Raw genomic sequence first — 21,730 nt, forward strand, 5'->3', positions numbered from 1 at the left:
GACGCGATCTTGGCTCACTGTAACCTCCACCTCCCAGGTTCAAGCGATTCTCCTGCCTCAGCCTCCCAAATAGCTGGGATTACAGGTGCCCGCCACCATGCCTGGGTAATTTTTATTTTTTATTTATTATTATTATTATTATTATTTTAGATGAAGTCTCGCTCTGTCGCCCAGGCTGGAGTGCAGTGATGCAATCTCGGTTCACTGCAACCTCCACCTCTTGGGTTCAAGCGATTCTCCTGCCTCAGCCTCCCGAGTAGCTGGGATTACTGGCGCCCACAACCACACCTGGCTAATTTTTGTATTTTTAGTAGATATGGGGTTTCACCATGTTGGCCAGGCTGGTCTAAAAACTCCTGACCTCAGGTGATCTGCCTGCCTTGGCCTCCCAAAGTGCTGGGATTGCAGATGTGACCCACTGCACCTGGCAAGCAGCTCACTTTCTGGTTAGCAGGACAGGCAGGAAAAAAAAAAAAAAGATGATTATAATGCAAACATCACACAAGCCTCAGTGGTCTGTGGATTCAAACAAAGCCACGTGAATGCTAATCATCCCAAGTTCCTGTTCTTGCCCCAGCAAAGTCTCCTTCAAGTATTTCTGGGATTTCTCTAGGGACTTTTCACACAAGGCTATCACTGGTCACATCAGCCTTGCTCTGATCCCCTCTGCCCCTACCAAAGGTGCCTACTGTGGGAGTGCCTGATGACCCTGTGGGCAGGACTCAGACTATTATGAGGGTGGCAAAGGGCAAGCCTCAAAGTGAGTGACTCCTTCAAATCTGCGGGCCCCATGTTCTCTTTCTGCGCTGGAGCAGGCCGGAGAGAGGAAAAGTTCCATGAAAGGGGAGCTGGGCCCAGAGCAGCACCGCTAATGCCTGCAGTTTGGGTTCTACTGGGGACATGTTGAGTTTGAGGAGCCTCTGAGACATCCAGATGAGGATGTCAGGGATGCAATTGGCTTTCTGGATTTGGAATTCAGAAGTTTGAGTTGGAGATCTGAATTCCAGAGCTGTAAACATGGAGGAAGGAGTACCGGCACAGGACCAAGCTTTGCTGAACTCCCAACATTTAAATGCCCTGGCCCTCCCTCCACCTGGCCACTTCCCAAATACTCAGCTTTCCTACCTCATCTGGGCAGTTGGTCAGTCACTCTCTCCTGTGCATACCTATGTGTCTCTGCACAGTCTTCTATTACAACACCTTTCATTCTACATGGCAACTTGATTTACATATTTGTCTCCTTGAGAGTAGGGACTTTCTCTTAATGTTGAATTTTGGTCTCCCCATCTCCTTCCCCTTCCCTCCACATATTTGGCACCAAGTAGGTGTTTAAAATTGAACAAATGAACTACACTTTTTTTCTTTTCCTTTCTTTTCTTTTTCTTTTTCTTTTCTTTTTTTTTTTTTTTTTTTTGACAGTCTCGCTGTGTCACCCAGGCTGGAATGCAGTGGTGTGATCTCGGCTCACTGCAACCTCCATCTCGTGGGTTTCAGCAATTCTCTGCCTCAGCCTCCCGAGTAGCTGGGATTACAGACACCCACCACCACGCCCAACTAATTTTTGTATTTTTAGTAGAGACGGGGTTTCACCATCGTGGCTAGCCTGGTCTTGAACTCCTGACTTTGTGATCCACCAGCCTCAGCCTCCCAAAGTGCTGGGATTACAGGCATGAGCCACCGCGCCACCTGAACTACACTCTTGGAAGAGAAACTCTCCTGCCCAGGGCTGGGGCCTTTTGTCTCCTGGGAACTGGCTGCAATGCAGGAGAGGTAGATGGGGCCTGCAGATCTCCCACCTGCTGAGATCACACAGGTCAGGAGCTCTAGGCAAGTTTCAGTCCTTCTAGTCATTCCCGTAGGGATTCATGTGAAAGTGAAAGTCTGCAGTAGGGTACTCAATAAATGTGTGTGGTGATCATAACAATGGCCAATATTGCTTATGAAGTACCTACTAATTGCCAGCCTCTGTGCTAAGTGCTTTATAGATACTATCATGTTAACCCTGTATGTGTTAACCCTAACAGCCCTGGGGCAGGCATTGTTATATCCTCTGTTTTTGGTTTGTTTGTTTGTTTGTTTGTTTTGAGACAGAGTCTTGCTCTGTCGCCCAGACTGGAGTGCAGTGGCGCGATCTCGGCTCACTGCAACCTCCGCCTCCCAGGGTCCAACGATTCTCCTGCCTCAGGTTCCCGAGTAGCTGGGATTACAGGTGCGCACCACCACGTCCGGCTAATTTTTTTACTTTTAGTAGAGATGGGGGTTTCACCATGTTGGCCAAGCTGGTCTCGAACTCCTGAACTCATGATCCACCCGCCTTGGCCTCCCAAAGTGCTGGGATTACAGGCGTGAGCCACCGCGCCCGGCCATCTCTGTTTTATCAAGGAGAGGGAAGAGGAGTCTGAGCTAGTGTGATGGTTAATTTTCGGTGTCAACTTCACCGGATTAAGGAATACCCAGAGGACTGATAAAGCATTATTTCTGGGTGTGTCTGTGAGTGTGTTCCCAGAAGAGAGTGGCCTGTGAGTGGACTGAATGGTACAGATCCGCCCTCAATGTGGGCGGGCGCCAGCTAATGGGCTAGGGCCCAGAATGAACACAAAAGGCAAAGAAGGGATTTCCTGTCTCTCTTCCTGGAGCTAGGACACTCTTCTTCTCCTGTCCTTAGACATTAGATCCCCATGCTCTTCAGCCCTTGGACTCCAGGACTTACACCAGCAGCCCCTGGGTTCTCAGGCCTTCATCCTCTAAGCATCACACCACTGGCTTCCTTGGTTCTGAGGATCTCAGATTTGGACTGAGCCACACGACCGGCTTGCCAGGGTCTCCAGCTTGCAGAAGGCCTCCAATGGGACTTCTCAGCCTCCATAATCATGTGAACCAATTGCCCTCACAAGTCCCCTCTTGAATGTGTACATCTATCTATATACTGTATTTATTCTGTCTCTCTAAAGAATCCTGACTAATGCAGCAAAGCAAAACACTGTGCTCAATCACCCAGCAGGTAAGAGGCAGAGCTACCAACCTCCATCTGAACCATTATGCACTGCTGCTGTATCCTATACCATAGTAACTGGATTAAGGGTAGAAGAAACTTGCTCTTTTTGGAACCTCCTCCTCCCCCCAAAACAAGCCTAGCTATACTCAGTGAAAATTATACAGATTAGAGAGTAGGACTTGGCCAGGCGCGGTGGCTCATGCCTGTAACCCCAGCACTTTGGGAGGCTGAGGCGGGCGGATCATGAGGTCAGGAGATCGAGACCATCCTGGCTAACACGGTGAAACACTGTCTCTACTAAAAATACAAAAAAATTAGCTGGGCATGGTGGTGAGCTGTAGTCCCAGCTACCCGGGAGGCTGAGGCAGGAGAATGGCGTGAACCCAGGAGGTGGAGCTTGTAGTGAGCTGAGATCCTGCCACTGCACTCCAGCCTGGGTGACAGAGCAAGACTCCATCTCAAAAAAAAAAAAAAAAAAAAAAAAAAGGAGAGAGAGAGTAGGACTTTCAGATCCATAGCCAACATAAAGCACCCACAAATCTTCATCAGGTACTAAAGGGTATAATAGTGATTACTTCTGTTTATAAGCCCTACTATCAGGAGGTTTACACTGATATTTGTTAATGTTCACAATAAGCCTTCAAGGTAGATGGCATTACCCCACTTTATAGAAGAGAAAACTAAGTTTCAGAGGTCTTCCAAATGATACACAGTGAGGACAAGGCATTGCCGGGTTGTTTGAATTTGCCCCACTCCAACGTTAGTCTTTTCACATGGTTGTTAACCTTCAGGTGGACCTGGGGCAGCATACTGTGGTGAACACAAAATAAACTCCAGACTTCTAGGCTTTCAGAGCAGAAATTACTCTTCCCTACCCTGAGAAGGGCCCCCAAAATAGAAGGCTGCTGCATCACTTAGTGGATACATACACCGCAACCTCAACCACTCTTGGCCTGAGATTACCTTTAGGGTTCTCGCCTGGAAGAAGAGCACATCTCTCCCGCTCAGCCTACTCTCAGGGAAAGCAAGTAAAGATCTGGCAAGCACCCAGAAAGACTGAGGGTTATTTTTTGTTTTGTTTCCAGTGTTTTTAAAATTGTATATAGGTATGGCTACAACATGTTTTGATATACATATGCAGTAACTGTTGATTCTAGTCTAGAAAGGCCATAGATACCACTACCCAGCTCCTTCTCAGACAAACCTTTATCAAAGTTTTATTAGCCTCAGCTCAAGGGATCTCTATTTGGGCATCTCATTACAGGGCAAGGACGCTTCAGCCATTTGTAACACCACCACTCAAGAAGGATCTTCAAGGGTGGCAGTGGAAATGAGTTGCAAAGGAACTGTAAATTCTCCTTGCCCCTTCCCCCCTCTTCATGCAGTTGCTCTCTCAACCCACCTATTCCTTCAAGTCTGACACTGGATTACTCCCATTCCCTGAACACATTTCCCACGTTCTCATCTCTGCTCATTTATTCCACTTCCCTTTGCCTGGAACTTATTCTTCCTTGGCCAAAATCTATCTTCTGCATTGAACTCCAACAGCACTTAATTTTTTCGTTTCTTTTTTCTTTTTGACACGGAGTCTGACTCTGTTGCCCAGGCTGGAGTGCAGTGTGGCGCGATCTCGGCTCACTGTAACCTCCACCTCCCGGGTTCAAGCAATTCTTCTGCCTCAGCCTCCCAAGTAGCTGGGATTACAGGTGCATGCCACCACGTTCAGCTAACTTTTTTATGTTTTTAGTAGAGATGGGGTTTCACTGTATTAGCCAGGCTGGTCTTGAACTCCTGACCTCAGGTGATCTACCCACTTTGGCCTCCCAAAGTGCTGGGATTACAGGAGTGGGCCACCGCACTGGCCTTTTTTTTTTTTTTTTTTTTTTTTTTTTTTTTTTTTTTGAGACAAGGTCTCACTCTGTCGTCCAGGCTGAGTGCAGTGGGGCAGTCGTTGCTCACTGTAGTCTCAATTTCCCAGGCTCAAGCAGCAATCTTCCCACCTCAGTCTCTCAAGTAGCTGGGGACAACAGGTGCACGCCACCACACTCAGCTAATTTCTTTCTTTCTTTCTTTTTTTTCCCAAGACAGAGTCTCGCACTGTCCCCCAGGCTGGAGTGCAGTGCTGCAATCTCAGCTCACTGCAACCTCCGCCTCCTGGGTTCAAGCGATTCTTCTGCCTCAGCCTCCTGAGTAGCTGGGACTACAGGCACACCACCACACCCAGCTAATTTTTGTATTTTTAGTAGAGACGGGGTTTCACAATGTTGGCCAGGATGGTCTCGATCTCTTGACCTTGTGATCTGCCCGCCTCGGTTTCCCAAAGTGCTGGGATTACAAGCATGAGCCATCGCATCTGGCCTATATTTTATATTATATATATATAATTTATGTAGATACGTGTTTTGTTTTCATTTCTGTGGGTAATTTGGAAATCCTCTCCCTTAACCCCTTAAAGAAGGCCTTTAGGTTCTCTAGTTAAAGGGTTCTAAGCTTCACATCCAAAAATCAAGTTTCCAGGCACTCAGAAGACAATTTCCAAATAAACCTTTTTTTCCTTTTTTTTTTTTTTTGAGACGTAGTCTCGCTCTGTTGCCCAGGCTGGAGTGCAGTGGCGTGATCTCGGCTCACGGCAGCCTCCGCGTCCCTGGTTCAAGCAATTCTCCTGCCTCAGCCTCCCAAGTAGCTGGGATTACAGGTATGCACCACCACACCCGGCTAATTTTTATATTTTTAGTAAAGATGGGGTTTCATCATGTTGGCCAAGTTGGTCTCGAACTCCTGGCCTCAGGTGATTTGCCCACCTCGGCCTCCCAAAGTGTTGGGATCACAGGCATGAGCCACCAAGCCGGGCGGAAACTTTTTTTATTGTAGAGATGAGGTCTCATTATATTGTCCAGGCTGCTCTCGAACTCCTAGCCTCAAGTAATCCTCCCACCTAGGCCTCCCAAAGTGCTGGGATTACAGGCATAAGCCACCGCACCGGTCCCCAAAGACTTTTGAAAAGTGTGGGCTCATTAGGAGAACTAATCCAGAAGGAAAAGAGATGGGAGTGAGTGCTTTAAATGGAAGAAGAAAATAATCTGCGGAGGGAAGGGAAAGTTAGAGAGGGCACCAGGCTTTTGATGGCTTATGGGACAAGTAGGGACCTAAGGCTCCACTTGCATATAGCACACCAGGATGTGGAGAACGTCGTAGGCGACTGTCCACTATGTACCTTGCCTTTGAGAGTAGTGGCAAGGGTCTCTTTGAGCAAGTCTGGAGTGGTAGAAGAAGCCATCCTAATGATGCAACCAACGTGGATTAAGGATCTGGTCTCTACCTCACTTTTTGAAGGAAGAAACACTTAATTGGCAATAATGACGGCGAAACAAAACAAACACAATTCAGAAAAAGCAGTAAAATATGTAAAAAGAGCTAAAATGCTGCTTAAGATTTCCCGTACCAACAATGTCAACCGTTTTAGAACCGACTGGAATATATGTAATACTGGAAATATATATACTGGAAACAACTTCTTGTGTTCCCTGATGTCTGGGACCCTTTTCTTTGCTAGACTTCAGATCTCTGATCTGAACCATCCCTCTTAGTTCAAGTACTCCAATCGCCTTCAGTGTTTCCACCAAGCCGTCCTTCCTCAATTTCTCCCTCCAGGTTTCCCTTCCCCAACTTTCCCCCTGCATCAGACTCTCCCTCAGCCTTCCTTTCTCCCTGTGCAGTCTGTCTCACTCCTGTCTTCCTCCCCAGGCGGTCTCAATTCTCTCTCCCTCCCCTTTCCGTGACCCTCTCGGCAGTCTTTTACTTCCTTACTTCGGTGACCGCCCCCCACCCCACTCCCCACAGCCTCCCTCCACTGCTCAGCCGTTGGAGAGGGCGTGGCCCCGCGAGTAACAGGTCTCCCGCCCCACACTCCGCGGGCCCGCGCGCAGACAAAGACATTCCACAGCTCCCGCCCCCTCCACGCCAGAAAGGGGAGGAGACACGTGTTCCGCTAGCGCCGAGTCACGTGGAAAACGAAACGAACGGAGCCCACTGCCTCCCGCGCATGCGCATCAAGCTCTGGCCTGGCGGGAGCGGAGGGAAAGCCAGAGTCGGGAGGCGACTTCTCGGACGCCGCGGCGGTGCGCAGGCGCCGTGGCCGGACTGGGGACTTTGTTCTCCGCGGAGAAACCCAAGGGCGGTGCCGGTGGCTGGCTGCGCACGCGCGCCGCCTCATTTCCGGTGCTCTCTCTCGCTGGGTCGCTCGGGTCGGCTTCGGTCGCTACCGCTCCCGCTCTGCCACCCCCGCCAACCGCCGCTCGGGCCTCCGTCGCTGCCGCGTCGCTTTCTCGCTCCTTGGATCGCACATCCTCCCAGATGCAGCGCCGGGACGACCCCGCCGCGCGCATGAGCCGGTCTTCGGGCCGTAGCGGCTCCATGGACCCCTCCGGTGCCCACCCCTCGGTGCGTCAGACGCCGTCTCGGCAGCCGCCGCTGCCTCACCGGTCCCGGGGAGGCGGAGGGGGATCCCGCGGGGGCGCCCGGGCCTCGCCCGCCACGCAGCCGCCACCGCTGCTGCCGCCCTCGGCCACGGGTCCCGACGCGACAGTGGGCGGGCCAGCGCCGACCCCGCTGCTGCCCCCCTCGGCCACAGCCTCGGTCAAGATGGAGCCAGAGAACAAGTACCTGCCCGAACTCATGGCCGAGAAGGACTCGCTCGACCCGTCCTTCACTCACGCCATGCAGCTGCTGACGGCAGGTAAGGGGGCCTCCCGTGTCCCTCTGGGTCGCCCGGCCATCCCGGGCATGAGTGGCCCTGGCTTTGTTCCTCTCGCTTCCCGCCCCCTCGGGACCGAGGCAGTCGGGAGTTCCGGTCTCATCCTCATTTTTGGGAGCCTGGATTCCACATTCCCACCTCAGCCCGGAGTGCGTGGGAGAATTTCTAGGCTGCAGTGGAGGCCCGAAGGCGACTTTGCGATCCCCTAGCGCTAATGTCTTGATGGATAGTGCTGAGCTCCCCGCCCCTTTCCCGACTCTTCCCTCCTCCCTCCTCTTGCGGCTGCCGGGCGCGCAGATTCTTCCAGAAATGAACCTTCATTTCCCCCTTTCCCTGAAGGGAAACCCTTTTTGATCGCGGGTGGCGATGAGCGCCTCGACCGAGGTGTAGGAGGTGAAGACAGCCAGAGCGGGGAGGGACCGTGGGAGGAAGGGCCGAGGTGAGGTGGGGTGAGGCTGGAATGCCCTGTCCAGTGCCTTGCTGTCGCTGGGGCCGAGCCGGACTTAGCGGTAACCGCAGCTTAAGTTGCTGGGAGGAAGGAGCGATTTATGTGGATCGGAGCTTGAGGTTTCCGAATCAGATTTCCGACTAAGGCTGATAAAATAAGAATTGCTACTGAGCCATTTTACACCGTGTGTTCACTGTCGTTGAAGGAGTGAAGTAACCCTAGAGACAGTGAAATGGGACGATAGGGACTCCCGCGTAGTTCACATGACGTTTCCCAACGAGATGGACAGAAATTGAGAGAAGTTGCATGATGCTTGTACTGAAAGGCTTGGCCTTTTTGTTGCTGTTTTTTACATTTTTGATTCAGTAGTGAAATAGATTAGAAATGAGAGTCTTTGTTCTGTAGGTTAGCGCTCTTTTCCTCATCAGCACTGGCCAATCACCTAGTCGCTCTGATTTTTCCCTAAAGCTGTCTGACTTTCGCTTCTAGTTAAAATATTATTTTAATATTTTTTATGATACCTAAATTTTACTAAGCAAGTAAAAATTCACATCCTTCAACACTGAATGAGTAGTTGGACTCTTTGGCAAGGTTAATATAATGGACAGTTCATTATGAAAATATTATCTCCCTCCCTTTGTTCTCTGTCTCCCAACACTGTAAGGTAAGGGATCTTTACCAGTGTGGTGTTCATCTTTTATGCTTTCTTAAGATAACTGTCAAAAACTGTTGATCCTTAAAAGTTACTTTTAATTTTCAGTCTCCCCTCACTGCTTAACTAAGAGAGTGCTCTTTATTTTTAACTTGGGCTTTCTGGATGTATTTTTTTTAAACCCAACTGAAATTGGAGAAATGTGATTGAGGTTACTGTTGGTTTGGGATGTATGAATTCTTTCTAGCATGGATAAGTGTTAATATATGTTGAGCCTGGCTTTTAAGGTATTTCTGAATTATCTTGCAAGGGGATTGCAGTGAAGTCACAACCCATTGTGCGGAAGTGAGACTTTGAGAAGATAGAATAGTAGTATTTAAGCTCTGGTAAGATCACATGGAAGGGGCAGGCGCGGTGGCTCACGCCTGTAATCCCAGCACTTTGGGAGGCCGAGACGGGCTGATCGCGAGGTCAGGAGTTGGAGACCAGCCTGATCAACATGGTGAAACCCCGTCTCTACTAAAAATACAAAATTAGCTTCGCGTGGTGGCGCACGCCTGTGATCCCAGCTACTTTGGAAGCTGAGGCAGGAAAATCACTTGAACCTGGGAAGCGAAGGTTGCAGGGAGCCCAGATTGCGCCATTACACTCCAGCCTGGGCAACAAGAGCTAAACTCCATCTCAAAAAAGGAAAAAAAAAAAAAAAAGAAAAGAACACACGGAAGAAAAATATAGCTAACACTTAATGTTTGAGGTCTGAGCACTTTACATTAAATATTTAACCTATAAAATGAAATGAGAACTTACTTTTATTATCCTCACTTATACAGATGAGGAAACCAAGACACCCAGAGATTAATAATTTGCCTAAGGTAACAAAATTAGTAAGCATCGTAACCAGGATTTTTGGTCAGTCTACACACCTTCCCCGTTCCCTCACTATAGTGCCTGCTGCAAATTGTACTTTAAGCTATAGTTGGACAAAATATTAAAATCTATCTGGGATGATAGGTGACCAAAAAAAAAAAAGTATATTTGAAAGTATCACAGTGTTAACAGGGCAGTGAAGATGATAAGGCTAAGATACAGAAAGGAAACCAGAGAGCAGAGTCTACTGCTTGGGACTGTGGCTCCTCCAGGCACCTTTGACCATTCCCAATAAGGTACCGTGAGACCCTGAGCACTCTTCCTGTACCACCTACACAGCTCTCCTCTTCCTTTCCTGGGTTTACTTTATTTTTCACTATCAGCATCTGTTGCACTATATTGTCGTTATGTACAGTATTTGTTTGTTGATTACCCATTCTCCATGGCTAGAATGTCAGCTCCACCAGAGCGCAGGAATCTTTTGTCTACTTTGTTCACCGTTGTATCTTCTATGCCTTGAAGAGTGCTGCACAGAGTGGCCTCTTATTAAATATTTCACGAAATAATACATATTCACCTTCATTGAAGATGGGACTGATGAAAAAATGATGACAGCCGTGCACGGTGGCTCACACCTATAATCCCAACACTTTGGGAGGCTGAGGCAGACGGATCACTTGAGGTCAGGAGTTCAAGACCAGCCTGGCCAACATGGTGAAACCCCGTCTCTACCAAAAATACAAAAATTAGCCGGGCGTGGTGGCACATGCCTGTAATCCCAGCTACTTGGGAGGCTGAGGCAGGAGAATCACTTGAAACCGGGAGTTGGAGGTTACAGTGAGCCCAGATTGCACCATTGCACTCCAGCCTGGGTGAAGAAGCAAGACTCCGTCTCAAAAAAAAAAAAAAGACAAAATTTTGAGGGATGTAGATTTTGAATGTAGACTTCTATGTTAGCCAGATTGATATTCAGCTGTGATGACTGTCGAATGTATCTGCAGACATAAGGATTCAATCATCCATCTTTGTTTTCTGGAAGAGAAATAATTTACCTTATTGTGTTAATATATTTATATACTAAGTAAAATGCTGTTGTATATATTCGAATGTGTCTGCAGACATAAGGATTCAATCATCTATCTTTGTTTTCTGGAAGAGAAATAATTTACCTTATTGTGTTAATATATTTATATAGTAAGTAAAATGCTGTTGTATAGATACCAGTGTTCTTTTTCTACTTTTTTTTTTTTTTTTTTTTTTTTGAGACGGAGTTGCACTTTTGTTGCCCAGGCTGGAGTGCAATGGCGCGATCTTGGCTCACCGCAACCTCCACCTCCCAGGTTCAAGCAATTCTCCTGCCTCAGCTTCCCTGGTAGCTGGGATTATAGGCATGTGCCACCACGCCCGGCTAATTTCGTATTTTTAGTAGAGACGGGGTTTCTCCATGTTGGTCAGGCTGGTCTCAAACTCCCGACCTCAGGTGATCCGCCTGCCTCGGCCTCCCAAAGTGCTGGAATTACAGGCATGAGCCACTGCGCCCGGCCTATTTTTCTACTTTCTACAATTAGGGAAATACAAGTTAGTATAAGTGACTCAAGAATAAACATTTTGAATAGATTAGCAATCTGCAAAAGATCTTGGAGAGATACTCAAAAATCCATCCTTCAAAAGCATACAGTGGAAAACATTTACAAAGTCTGTTGAAACTTCAAAATAGTTAATTCCTTTATTTACAGTATTCTCTAGAAATACATTAAGACCTTCCCAGTTCATTCTACAGGGCTAGCAAAACCTGCTTTTAAAACTGGAAAATAAGGGCCGGGCCTGGTGGCTCATGCCTGTAATCCCAGCACTTTGGGAGGCCGAGGCAGGCAAAGCACGAGGTCAGGAGTTCGAGACCAGCCTGGCCAACGTGGTGAAACCCTGTCTCTACTAAAAATACAAAAAATTACCCCTGGTGTGGTGGTGGGCGCCTGTAATCCCAGCTACTCAGGAGGCTAAGGCAGGAAGATCATTTGAACTCAGGAGACGGAGGTTGCAGTGAGCCAAGATCGCACCACTGCACTCCAGCCTGGGCGACAGTGTGAGACTCCGTCTCAAAAAAGCAAACAGGCCGGGTGCGGTGGCTCACGCCTGTAATCCCAGCACGTTGGGAGGCCGAGGCGGGTGGATCACGAGGTCAGGAGATCAAGACCATCCTGGCTAACACAGTGAAACCCCGTCTCTACTAAAAGATACAAAAAAATTAGCCGGGCGCAGTGGCGGGCGCCTGTAGTCCCAGCTACTGGGGAGGCTGAGGCAGGAGAATGGCGTGAACCCGGGAGGCGGAGTTTGCAGTGAGCCGAGATCGCGCCACTGCACTCCAGCCTGGGGGACAGAGTGAGACTCCGTCTCAAAAACAAACAAACAAACAAACTGGAGAGTAAGGCCAGGTGCGGTGGCCCATGCCTGTAATCCCAGCACTTTGGGATGCCAAGGCAGTCGGATCACTTGAGGTCAGAAGTTCGAGACCAGTCTGACCAACATGGTGAAACCCTGTCTCTACTAAAAATACAAAAGATAGCTGGGTGTGGTGGCACGTGCCTGTAATCCTAGCTACTCGGGAGCCTGTAATTCCAGCTACTCAGGAGGCTGAGGCAGGAGAATCACTTGAACCCAGGAGGTGGAGTTTGCAGTGAGCCGAGATTGCGCCGCCACTGCACTCCAGCCTGGGCGACAGAGCGAGACTCTGTCTTAAAAAACAAACAAACAAACAAAAAACCAGCAACACCTTTTCTAGGAATATGCTCAAAGAAACTTATACATGAGCACTTGATTCATGAAATGGTGTACCTTGTTCACAAAACATTGCAACTTGTTTCACCATTCATTGGATAATGTGATAGATTTACAACAGAAAATATTTGGCTGGGCACAGTTTCTCACGCCTGTAATCCCAGCATTTTGGGAGGCAGAGGCGGGTGGATTAACTGAGGTCAGGAGTTTAAGACCAGCCTGACCAACATGGTGAAACCCTGTCTTTACTAAAAATACAAAAATTAGTTGGGCGTGGTGGCAGGTGCCTGTAATGCCGGCTACTTGGAAGGCTGAGGCAGGAGAATTGCTGAAACCCGGGAGACAGAGGTTGCAGTGAGCTGAGATCTAGCCAACAAGTGAAACTCAATCTCAAAAAAAAACAAAAAGAAAGAAAGAAAGAAAAAGAAAATATTTGTACAGCAGTGAAAATGGATGAACTATAGCTGCAGGCAACAACATGGAGAAATCTCCAAAATCTAATGTTATATGAAGAAAGTACATCCCATAAGACTACATACAGTATAATACTATTTCTATAAAACAAAGCCTAGTAAGATAAAGCAGAATATCATTAAGTATACATTTATCTGTGATATTGCAGGTTTTGTTTTTTTGTTTGTTTGTTTGTTTTGAGATTGAGTCTCGCTCTGTCGCTCACGCTGGAGTGCAGTGGCGCGATCTTGGCTGACTGCTACCTCTACCTTTCGGTTTCAAGCAGTTCTCCTGCCTCAGCCTCCCGAGTAGGTGGGATTACAGGCGCCCACCACCATGCCCGGCTGATTTTTGTATTTTTAGTAGAGATGGGGTTTCACCGTGTTGGCCAGGCTGGTCTCAAATTCCTGACCATGATCCTCCCTCTTCAGCCTCCCAAAGTGCCTGTGTTACAGGTGTGAGCCACCATGCCCAGCCCAATGCAGGTTTTGTTTGTTTGTTTGTTTTTTGTTTTTTACAAAACTAAATGTGCTTATTGGCTGGGCATGGTGGCTCATGCCTGTAATCCCAGGACTTTGGGAGGCCAAGGTGAGAGGATTGCTTGAGCCCTAGTGAGAGCTTGTCTCTACAGAAAATTTAAAAATTAGCTGAGAATGGCGGCACACACCCATAGTCCCAACTACCCGGGAGCCTGAAGCAGAAGGATCACTTGAACCCAGGAGATTGGTCTTAGGCTGAGGTGGAAGAATCGCTTGAACCCAGGAGGTCGAGGCTGCCTTGAGCTGAGATCGTGCCACTGCACTCCAGCTTGGGCAACAGTGAGATCCTGTCTCAAAAAAAAAACGTGCTTACCGTATCGTTCAACAGTTGCATTCTTGGGTATTTATTTCAGGGAAATTAAAACTCAACACAAAACCTGTACATGAATGTTCACAGCAGCTTTATTCATAGTAGCCAAAAACTGGAAACAAACCAAATGCCTCCAATAAACTGGCACACCCATACAGTGGAACAGTACTGTGCAATAAAAAAAAAAAAAAAAAGGAACTGTTAATAAATGCAGCAACTTGCTTGATCACAAGAGAATTAAGCTGAGTGAAGAAAGCCAATCTCAAAAGGTTACATACTATATGATTTCATTAATATAACATTCTTGAAGAAACAGAATAGTGGAGATGAAGACTATATTAGTGGTTGCCAGTGGTGAGAGATGAGGGAAAACGGTGACTGGCTATCAAAGGGTAAGGATCCTCATGATGGAACTGTTCTGTATCTTGACTGAGGTGGTGGTCACATGAGTCTGATTAAATTGCATAGAACTAAGCAAACAAGTACATGTAAAGGTGGTGAAATCCTAATAAAGTCAATTGTTAATTTTTTTTCCATGAAACCTGTACAACAAATTTTCTTATTTTAATGTTAATTTTCTGATTGTGATACAGATATGCAAAATGTTATGGGGAAAACTAAAGTATACAGGATCTCTGTTATTTCTTAGAACTGCATATAAATCTAAAATTGCCTTAAAATTAAAAAAAAAAATTTTCAAAGTTGCAAAGCTCTAAATTGTGCACTAAGGAAAAGATTTGGGAGACCATAGTCAATATGACAGAGTTTTCTACTGTCCTGGAATGTAAAAATTGAGCCCATATGAAAGGGCTTGTAACAGGCCTTTGGGGGATTTTTTTTTAACCAATACCCAGCCTTTCTATACCCATAGCCAATATTGTATATAATATATTATGAGTTTATATTTTTTTCTGGGTTGCTAATCAGTAGCTTCCATCAAATTCTCAGAGGGACCCATGATTCCAAAAAAAATAAAGAACCTATTGGCTTTGTGCTCTTGCTTGAAACAATAAGTAATTTGATAAATAAAACAAATGAAGTTGTTTTGCAATAGTAAGCTTATGGGACTTCTGATTCCAAAAGATGATACCAACAGAAAAGTTGAGAATTATAAATTTGGGGATGATAAAGTCATGTGAGTTGTTTAAGGGAAGTTGAGGGTGTTAACCATACTTTTTTGTATTTGTTTTTTTTTGAAACAGGTTCTCACTATGTCACTCAGGCTGGAGTGCAGTAACGCAATCTTGGCTCACTGCAACCTCTGCTTCCCGGGTTCAAGCGATTCTTGTGCCTCAGCCTCTCAAGTAACTGGGATTACAGGCGCATGACACCACACCTGGCTAATTTTTGACAGGCAGGCGGCACCACGCCTGGCTAAGTTTTGTATTTTTAGTAGAGACAAGGTTTCACTGTGTTGGCCAGGCTGGTCTTGAACTTCTGACCTCAGGTTATCTGCCTGCCTCAGCCTCCCAAAGTGCTGGGATTATAGGCGTGAGGCACCACACCCAGCGGCACATTTCTTTTTTTTTTTTTTTTAAGGAGATGGAGTCTTGCTCTGTCACCCAGGCTGGAGACTGGAGTGCAGTGGCATGATCTCGGCTCACTACAACCTCCACCTCCCGGGTTCAAGCGATTCTCCTCTCTCAGCCTCCTGAGTAGCTGAGACTACAGGAGCGCGCCACCACGCCCAACCAGTTTTTAGATTTAGCTAGAGTAAATCTTTAAATCTTTAGTAGAGACAGGGTTTCACCATAGTAGAAACAGGGTTTCACCATGTTGGCCAGGATAGTCTCGATCTCCTGCCCACCTTGGCCTCCCAAAGTGCTGGGATTACAGGTGTGAGCCACCGCGCCCCAGCCGGTACATTTCTTTTAATTCGGTTAATGATTATAGATGCCTGTTGTGTATCAAGCATTGTACTGTACTAAGAATTACAGACACTCAGCAATGGAAGGAGTCCAGAGATTGTTAACAACAGGCAAAGGAGGAGTGCTGTGTTTAGAAGTGTAGAACCAAGTATAGTGGGAGTCTAGAGGAGGGTATGAAATGAACCCTGACCTTTTAGAGCAGTTCTGAGAATCTTGCTCTCCTAGAAATACTCGCTCTGGATACTTAGAAAATCTTGACCATTGTCTTGTTCCTTATGCAGGCCATATCAAACGTTCAGTTGGCCGGGCGCGGTGGCTCACGCTTGTAATCCCAACACTTTGGGAGGCCGAGGCAGGTGGATCACAAGGTCAGGAGATCGAGACCATCCTAGCTAACACGGTGAAACCCCGTCTCTACTAAAAATACAAAAATTAGCCAGGTGTGGTGGCATGCGCCTATAGTCACCAGCTACTCGGGAGGCTGAGACAGGAGAATTGCTTGAACCCGGGAGGCGGAGGTTGCAGTGAGCCAAAATTGCGCCACTGCACTCCAGTGTGGGTGACAGAGCAAGACCCTGTCTCAAAAAAAAAAAAAGTTCAGTTAATGATATATTTGTATTGATTTTTTAGTTAAGCCAGACCAGTTGATAAAGTTGGTATATAATTTTCCCAGACTTCTCTAATATTAACTTTTTTTGTGTGAGTTACATCTCTTTTTCGCCCTCTCTCTTTTTTTCTTACTATTTTTCTTATTAACATTCTCTTTTAAAGTCATACACCAAGCATGTAGGAGAGCTGGGAATCAAACCCACTTTGTCTAGCTTCAAAACCCTTGTCTTTCCTCCAAGATATATTAAGCAACGTGGAAGCTTATAGTCTGGTTGGGATAAAATCTACAAAAAAAACAAAAGTGGGGGGTGGGAAAGGTTAAGTTATAGTAAAAGATGAAGGAAATTTTGAAAGGTTAACTGAATTTACTTTCTTTGGTATAAGAAGTGACTTGGGTTTAAGTATCTGCTATGTCACTAATTAGTTTTGAGATCTTGGACAAGTTATATAGCTTTTCTGAGCCCGGGTTTCTTCATCTGTCAAATGAAGATAATACTGGTTACAAAGACAAAGTGAAATAATAAATACAAAATTCCTGACGCATAGAAGGCATTGGATAAGATATGATTATTCTGAGTGGCTGGGAAACAAATGGGTCACCTCTTGTGTTGTTTACACCTCAGCTTTGTTTTCTTTGGCCCTTGGGATATCCAAGGTCTCCAGAGACCCAAGCAAAGATTACTTAAAGGAGTCAGTTCCAAAAGGGTTGTCTAGAAAGTACTTTTGCCTGAGGTTAAACCATTTTTAGGAAGCTCCTCCTTGATTTTTTGTCTTCCCATTTCAGTCTACTCTAGCTCTCCGGGGAAAGCAAGGACAAGGAGAGACATACAGAGTTGAAAAAGAAAAAAGAAAGACCAGACCATCAGACAACTGAACATCTGAGACACCCATAAAGCCCTTTTATTACCTTTAGGCCACATGCCAGTGTCTGAGGGTATAAATTGTACTTAAAATTTTATAAAAGTCAGCTCTTCCTTGCTTAAATAAAGTGTGCCCCCCACAAACACACACTCATCAAGAGACAATAGGAAAAGCATGAAATTAGAAGTTAGAGGCCTGGCGCGGTGGCTCACGCCTGTAATTCCAGCACTTTGGGAGGCCAAGGTGGGTGGATCACCTGAGATCAGGAGTTGAAGACCAGCCTGGCCAACATGGTGAAACCTTTTTTCTACTAAAAATACAAAATTTAGCTGGGCGTGGTGGCAGATGCTTGTAATCCCAGCTACTCAGGAGGCTGAGGTAGGGAGAATTGCTTGAACCTGGGAGGCAGAGGTTGCAGTGAGCTGAGATTGTGCCACTGCACTCCAGCCTGGGCGACAGAGTGAGACTTCGTTTCAAAAAAAAAAAGTCAGAAAAGGCCTAAAGGCCTGAGTTTGGGGGTTTTCTAAAATTTTTTATTAATTTTTTTTTAGAGACAGGGTCTTGTTCTGTCACCCAAGCTGGAATGCAGTGGCGCCCATTATGGCTCACCACAGCCTCCAACTCCTGGGCTCAAGTGATCGTCCTGCCTCAGCCTCTCTAGTAACTGGGACAACAGTTGTACGCCACCACACTGAGCTAATTTAATTTATTTTTTTTTTTTTTAATTTTAGTAAAGATGGGATCTCACTCTGTTGCCCAGGCAGGTCTCAAGTTCCTGGGCTCAAGCAATCCTCCCACCTCGGCCTCCCAAAGTTCTGGGATTATAGATGTGAGCCCCTGTGCCCAGCCAGGCGTGGGTTTTTAATTCTTGTTCTGTTACTTTAACAATTTTATGACCTAGAGATAGTTATTTAACCTCTTTGAGTTTTTGTTGCCTCAGATGTAAGTAACTCAGTTCACTGAGTTATTTTTGAGGATTAATGAGGTAATAGTTCTATGGTATTTGATATATAGTAGGCATCAAATAAATATTCAGCCCTACCTGGGTAAGGTGGCACGCACCTTTAGTCCTAGCTACTGGGGAGGCTGAGGTGGGAGGATCACTTGAGCTCAGGAGTTCGAGGCTGCAGTGAACTATGATGGTGTCACTATGCTTCAGCCTAGGCAGTAGAGAACCCATCTCTTTAAAACAAACAAAAAAAAAGGCGGGGGGAGCATAGTAGGTCACGCCTATAATCCCAGCACTTTGGGAGGCCGAAGTGGAAGGATCATTTGAGCCCAGGAGTTCAAGACCAACCTGGGCAAAATAGGGAGACCCCATCTCTACAAATAAAAAAAATTAGCCAGGCATGGTGGCACGCGCCTATGGTTGCACCTACTGGGGGTGCTGAGGTGGGAGGATCGCCTGAACCCAGGAGGTTGAGGCTACAGTGAGCCATTATTGTGCCACTCATTCCAGCCTGGGTGACAGAGTGAGACCCTATCTCAAAAAAAAAAAAAAAATTCGGCTCCTCCTTTTTTTTTTTTTTTTTTTTTTTTTTGAGACAGAGTCTCGCTCTGTCACCCAGGCTAGAGTGCAGTGGCACGATCTCAGCTCACTGTGACCTCCGCCTCCCGGGTTCAAGCAATTCTTCTGTCTCAGCCTCCCAAACAGTTGGGACTACAGGCACACGCCACCATGCCCAGCTCATTTTTGTACTTTTAATAGAGATGGGGTTTCACTGTATTGGTCAGGCTGGTCTCGAACTCCTGACCTCAGGTGATCCACCCGCCTCAGCCTCCCAAAGTGCTGGAATTACAGGCATGAGCCACAGCGCCTGGCCCCCTCCACCCTTCTTGAAAGCTCGAGTAGCTTCTTAGTCTTCTGCTTGCTTCCTTTTCTTCCCTCTCCCTCTCCCTTCATCCCCTCCCTGCCTCCCTTCCTGCCCCCTCCCTTCTTCCCTCCCTCCCTTCCCTCCTTCCTTCCTCCCTTTCTCCCCTCTCCCCTCCTCTCTCCCTTCGATACCCAAGCTGGAGTGCAGTTGCACAGTCATCATAGTTCACTGCAGCCTTGAACTCTTGGGCTCAAGCGATCTTCCCACCACAGCCTCCTGAGTAGGTAGGATAATAGGCAGGTACCACTACACCCAGCTAATTTAAATATATATATATATTTATTTATTTATTTATTTATTTATTTTTGGTAGAGACAGGGTCTCGCTGTGTTGCCCAAGCTGGTCTCAAGCTCCTGGGCTCAAAGCAGTCATCCTGCTTCAGCCTCCCAAAGCACTGGGATTACAAGCGCATGTGCCACTGTGCCCAACCAGTCCTTTGCTTTGTAGGTTAAAATTCTGATTCTCTTTTCAACCCTCTGTTTTATTTAAATGATCCTTCTCTGAATTCTCTAAAAATGCTTTCCTTTGCTTTTTTGAGACAGGGCCTTACTCTGTCACCCAGGCTGGAATGCAGTGGCATGATCTTGGCTCACTACAGCCTCCAACTGCTTATCCTCCTGCCTCAGCCTCCCAAATAGCTGGGACCACAGGCGCATACCACCATGCCTGACTAATTTGTTATTTTTTATAGAGAAGGGGTCTCACTATGTTGCCCGCTCTGGTCCCAAACTCCTGGGCTCCAGTGATCCTTCTGCCTCAGCTTCCCCAAATGCTGAGATTACAAGTGTGAGCCACCATGCCTGGCCACTGCTATTCTTTAAAAAGTTGTGAAATAATTGGACAGAAGGATTCTAAGATCTGAGTAGTTCAAAAATAGAAGAATCCATGTTATAGAAAGGTCTTATACTATCACACTGGTCTTTAAGAAATGAAAAAATGAAAGGCCTTAAATTCACAGAGTGCATTACATTGCATATAAACACACCTTCTTGTAGGAGTATAGCAGATGAACAGACTTTGAATCGTCTTGCACTGACCAAGGTTTCTGGAAAGTGGTATAAAATACAGCTGAAAGGTCTAACTCAATGGTAGCCCTCGGAAGCACAAAGCGACATAGATAAAATGAAGTATCTAATTTGTTCCACATTCTTTTTTGTTGTTGTGATGGAGTCTTGCCCTATCGCCCAAGCTGGAGTGCAGTGGCGCAATCTGAGCTCACTGCAGCCTCTGCCTCCCGGGTTCCAGCGATTCTCCTCCCTCAGCCTCCTCGGTAGCTGGGATTACAGGTGCACACCACCACGCCTGGCTAATTTTTATATTTTTAGTAGAGACGGGGTTTCCCCATGTTGACCAAGCTGGTCTCGAATTTTTGACCTCAGGTGATCCGCCCACCTCAGCCTCCCAAACTGCTGGGATTACAGGCGTGAGCCAACGCGCCCGGTCTATGTATATATTTTTTTAGTAGAGATGGAGTTTCACCACGTTGGCCAGGCTGGTCTCGAACTCCTGACCTCAGGTGATTTGCCCACCTTGGCCTCCCAACGTGCTGGGATTACAGGCATGAGCCACCTCTCCTGGCCTGTTCCACATTATTAAAAGCTCCTTGGTGATGTTCTCAGATCAGAATTATGGCATCTTTGTTCTTCTAGGACTTTGAGGATTGAATAACTAAGTTTTCCAGTCTGAGAACTTAGAAAGTGGTGTAGTCAGGTACAGTAGGCTCAAAAAGATTGATCAGAAAAAGTATATTAGCAGTAGGGGAAAAGAAGTAGAGGTCAGGATCTGCCACCAAACAGTAAGGGTTAGGGTTAGGATTACCCTCACAAGTAGACTGTTGAATGAAGCATTACTCTGTTAACTGTAAGGTCAAATTTGTTTTCTATTCCAAGCACTGAAACAGGATTGTGAAGAGCACTGTCATTTACAGTTCTTCTCATAGGAGTAAAGGTTTTTAATTAAGGATATTTACAATTCATCAGCAATTTTAATTGTCAGAAAACCAGGAAGTATGTGTCTATTAGTTCATGGTATAGTATAGCATCTGAAATTAGGCTTTTTAACAAACAAGCATTCAGTCTGAAATTCTAAATTCTCTAAGGCATGTCAGAGTCAAAGTTATTTTTCTTCGTCTATATATTTCACAGCTGCACCTCTCTAAATATTTATTTTAAAAACTGTTAGGCCAGTACGGTGGCTCACATCTGTAATCCCAGCACTTTGGGAGGCCGAGGCGAGTGGATCATCTGAAGTCAGGAGTTCGAGACCAGCCCAGCCAACATGGTGAAACCCCATCTCTACTAAAAATAGGGAAAAAAATTAGCCGGGCATAGTGGCGCATGCCTGTAGTTCCAGCTACTCGGAAGGCTGAGGCAGGAGAATCGCTTGAACCCGGGAAGCAGAGGTTCCAGTGAGCAGAGATTGCACCACTGCGCTCCAACCTGGGTGACAGAGCGAGACTTTGTCTCAAAAAATAATAATTAATAAATAAAAACTGTTAAGGGTATAGATTTGTGGAACGTGTTTGAGGTAGGGTGTCTTTATACTTCAAGCCAATGGTTTTCAAAGTATGGTCCCTGGACCAGCAATATCAGAATTACCTGGGAACTTGTTGGAAATGCAAATTCCTAACACAAATCCCAGACTGGCTTTGAAGCCCAGCAATCTAGTTTAATAAGCCCTCTTCTAGGTGATTGTGATGCATGAAGAAGTTTGAGAACCCCCGCCTT

At 46.5% G+C, this 21,730-nt stretch overlaps 1 protein-coding gene across 5 annotated transcripts in view, besides 5 other annotated features; it reads left to right on the forward strand.

Moving 5' to 3' along the window:
• Window positions 1,571–2,130: an enhancer, noted in NCBI's record as "OCT4-NANOG-H3K4me1 hESC enhancer chr1:32473819-32474378 (GRCh37/hg19 assembly coordinates)". NCBI's record gives its function as "activates a minimal SCP1, AML or CMV promoter by ChIP-STARR-seq in naive H9 embryonic stem cells {active_cell/tissue: H9 hESC(naive)}" and the evidence as "EXISTENCE:reporter gene assay evidence [ECO:0000049][PMID:30033119]".
• The window catches only part of KHDRBS1 (KH RNA binding domain containing, signal transduction associated 1), a 46,983-nt gene continuing 32,473 nt past the window's right edge, over window positions 7,221–21,730 (forward strand). For all 5 annotated transcript variants that reach the window (NR_073499.2, XR_007066502.1, NR_073498.2 and 2 more), the window contains exon 1: window positions 7,221–7,730. Coding sequence is in view for 2 of the 5 variants with exons in the window: in NM_006559.3 (NP_006550.1) it covers window positions 7,349–7,730 (382 nt within the window). In the remaining 3 variants the exon portion in view is untranslated. The remainder of the gene's footprint in view (window positions 7,731–21,730) is intronic.
• Window positions 7,430–7,639: a silencer, noted in NCBI's record as "silent region_582". NCBI's record gives its function as "represses an Ori minimal core promoter by ATAC-STARR-seq in GM12878 lymphoblastoid cells {active_cell/tissue: GM12878}" and the evidence as "EXISTENCE:reporter gene assay evidence [ECO:0000049][PMID:35858748]".
• Window positions 7,430–8,026: a biological region, named in NCBI's record as "H3K27ac hESC enhancer GRCh37_chr1:32479704-32480274".
• Window positions 7,456–8,026: an enhancer, noted in NCBI's record as "H3K27ac hESC enhancer chr1:32479704-32480274 (GRCh37/hg19 assembly coordinates)". NCBI's record gives its function as "activates a minimal SCP1, AML or CMV promoter by ChIP-STARR-seq in naive H9 embryonic stem cells {active_cell/tissue: H9 hESC(naive)}" and the evidence as "EXISTENCE:reporter gene assay evidence [ECO:0000049][PMID:30033119]".
• Window positions 8,120–8,229: a silencer, noted in NCBI's record as "silent region_583". NCBI's record gives its function as "represses an Ori minimal core promoter by ATAC-STARR-seq in GM12878 lymphoblastoid cells {active_cell/tissue: GM12878}" and the evidence as "EXISTENCE:reporter gene assay evidence [ECO:0000049][PMID:35858748]".

This window comes from Homo sapiens, chromosome 1 (genome assembly GCF_000001405.40).
Source record: "Homo sapiens chromosome 1, GRCh38.p14 Primary Assembly".
Classification (NCBI taxonomy): domain Eukaryota; kingdom Metazoa; phylum Chordata; class Mammalia; order Primates; family Hominidae; genus Homo; species Homo sapiens.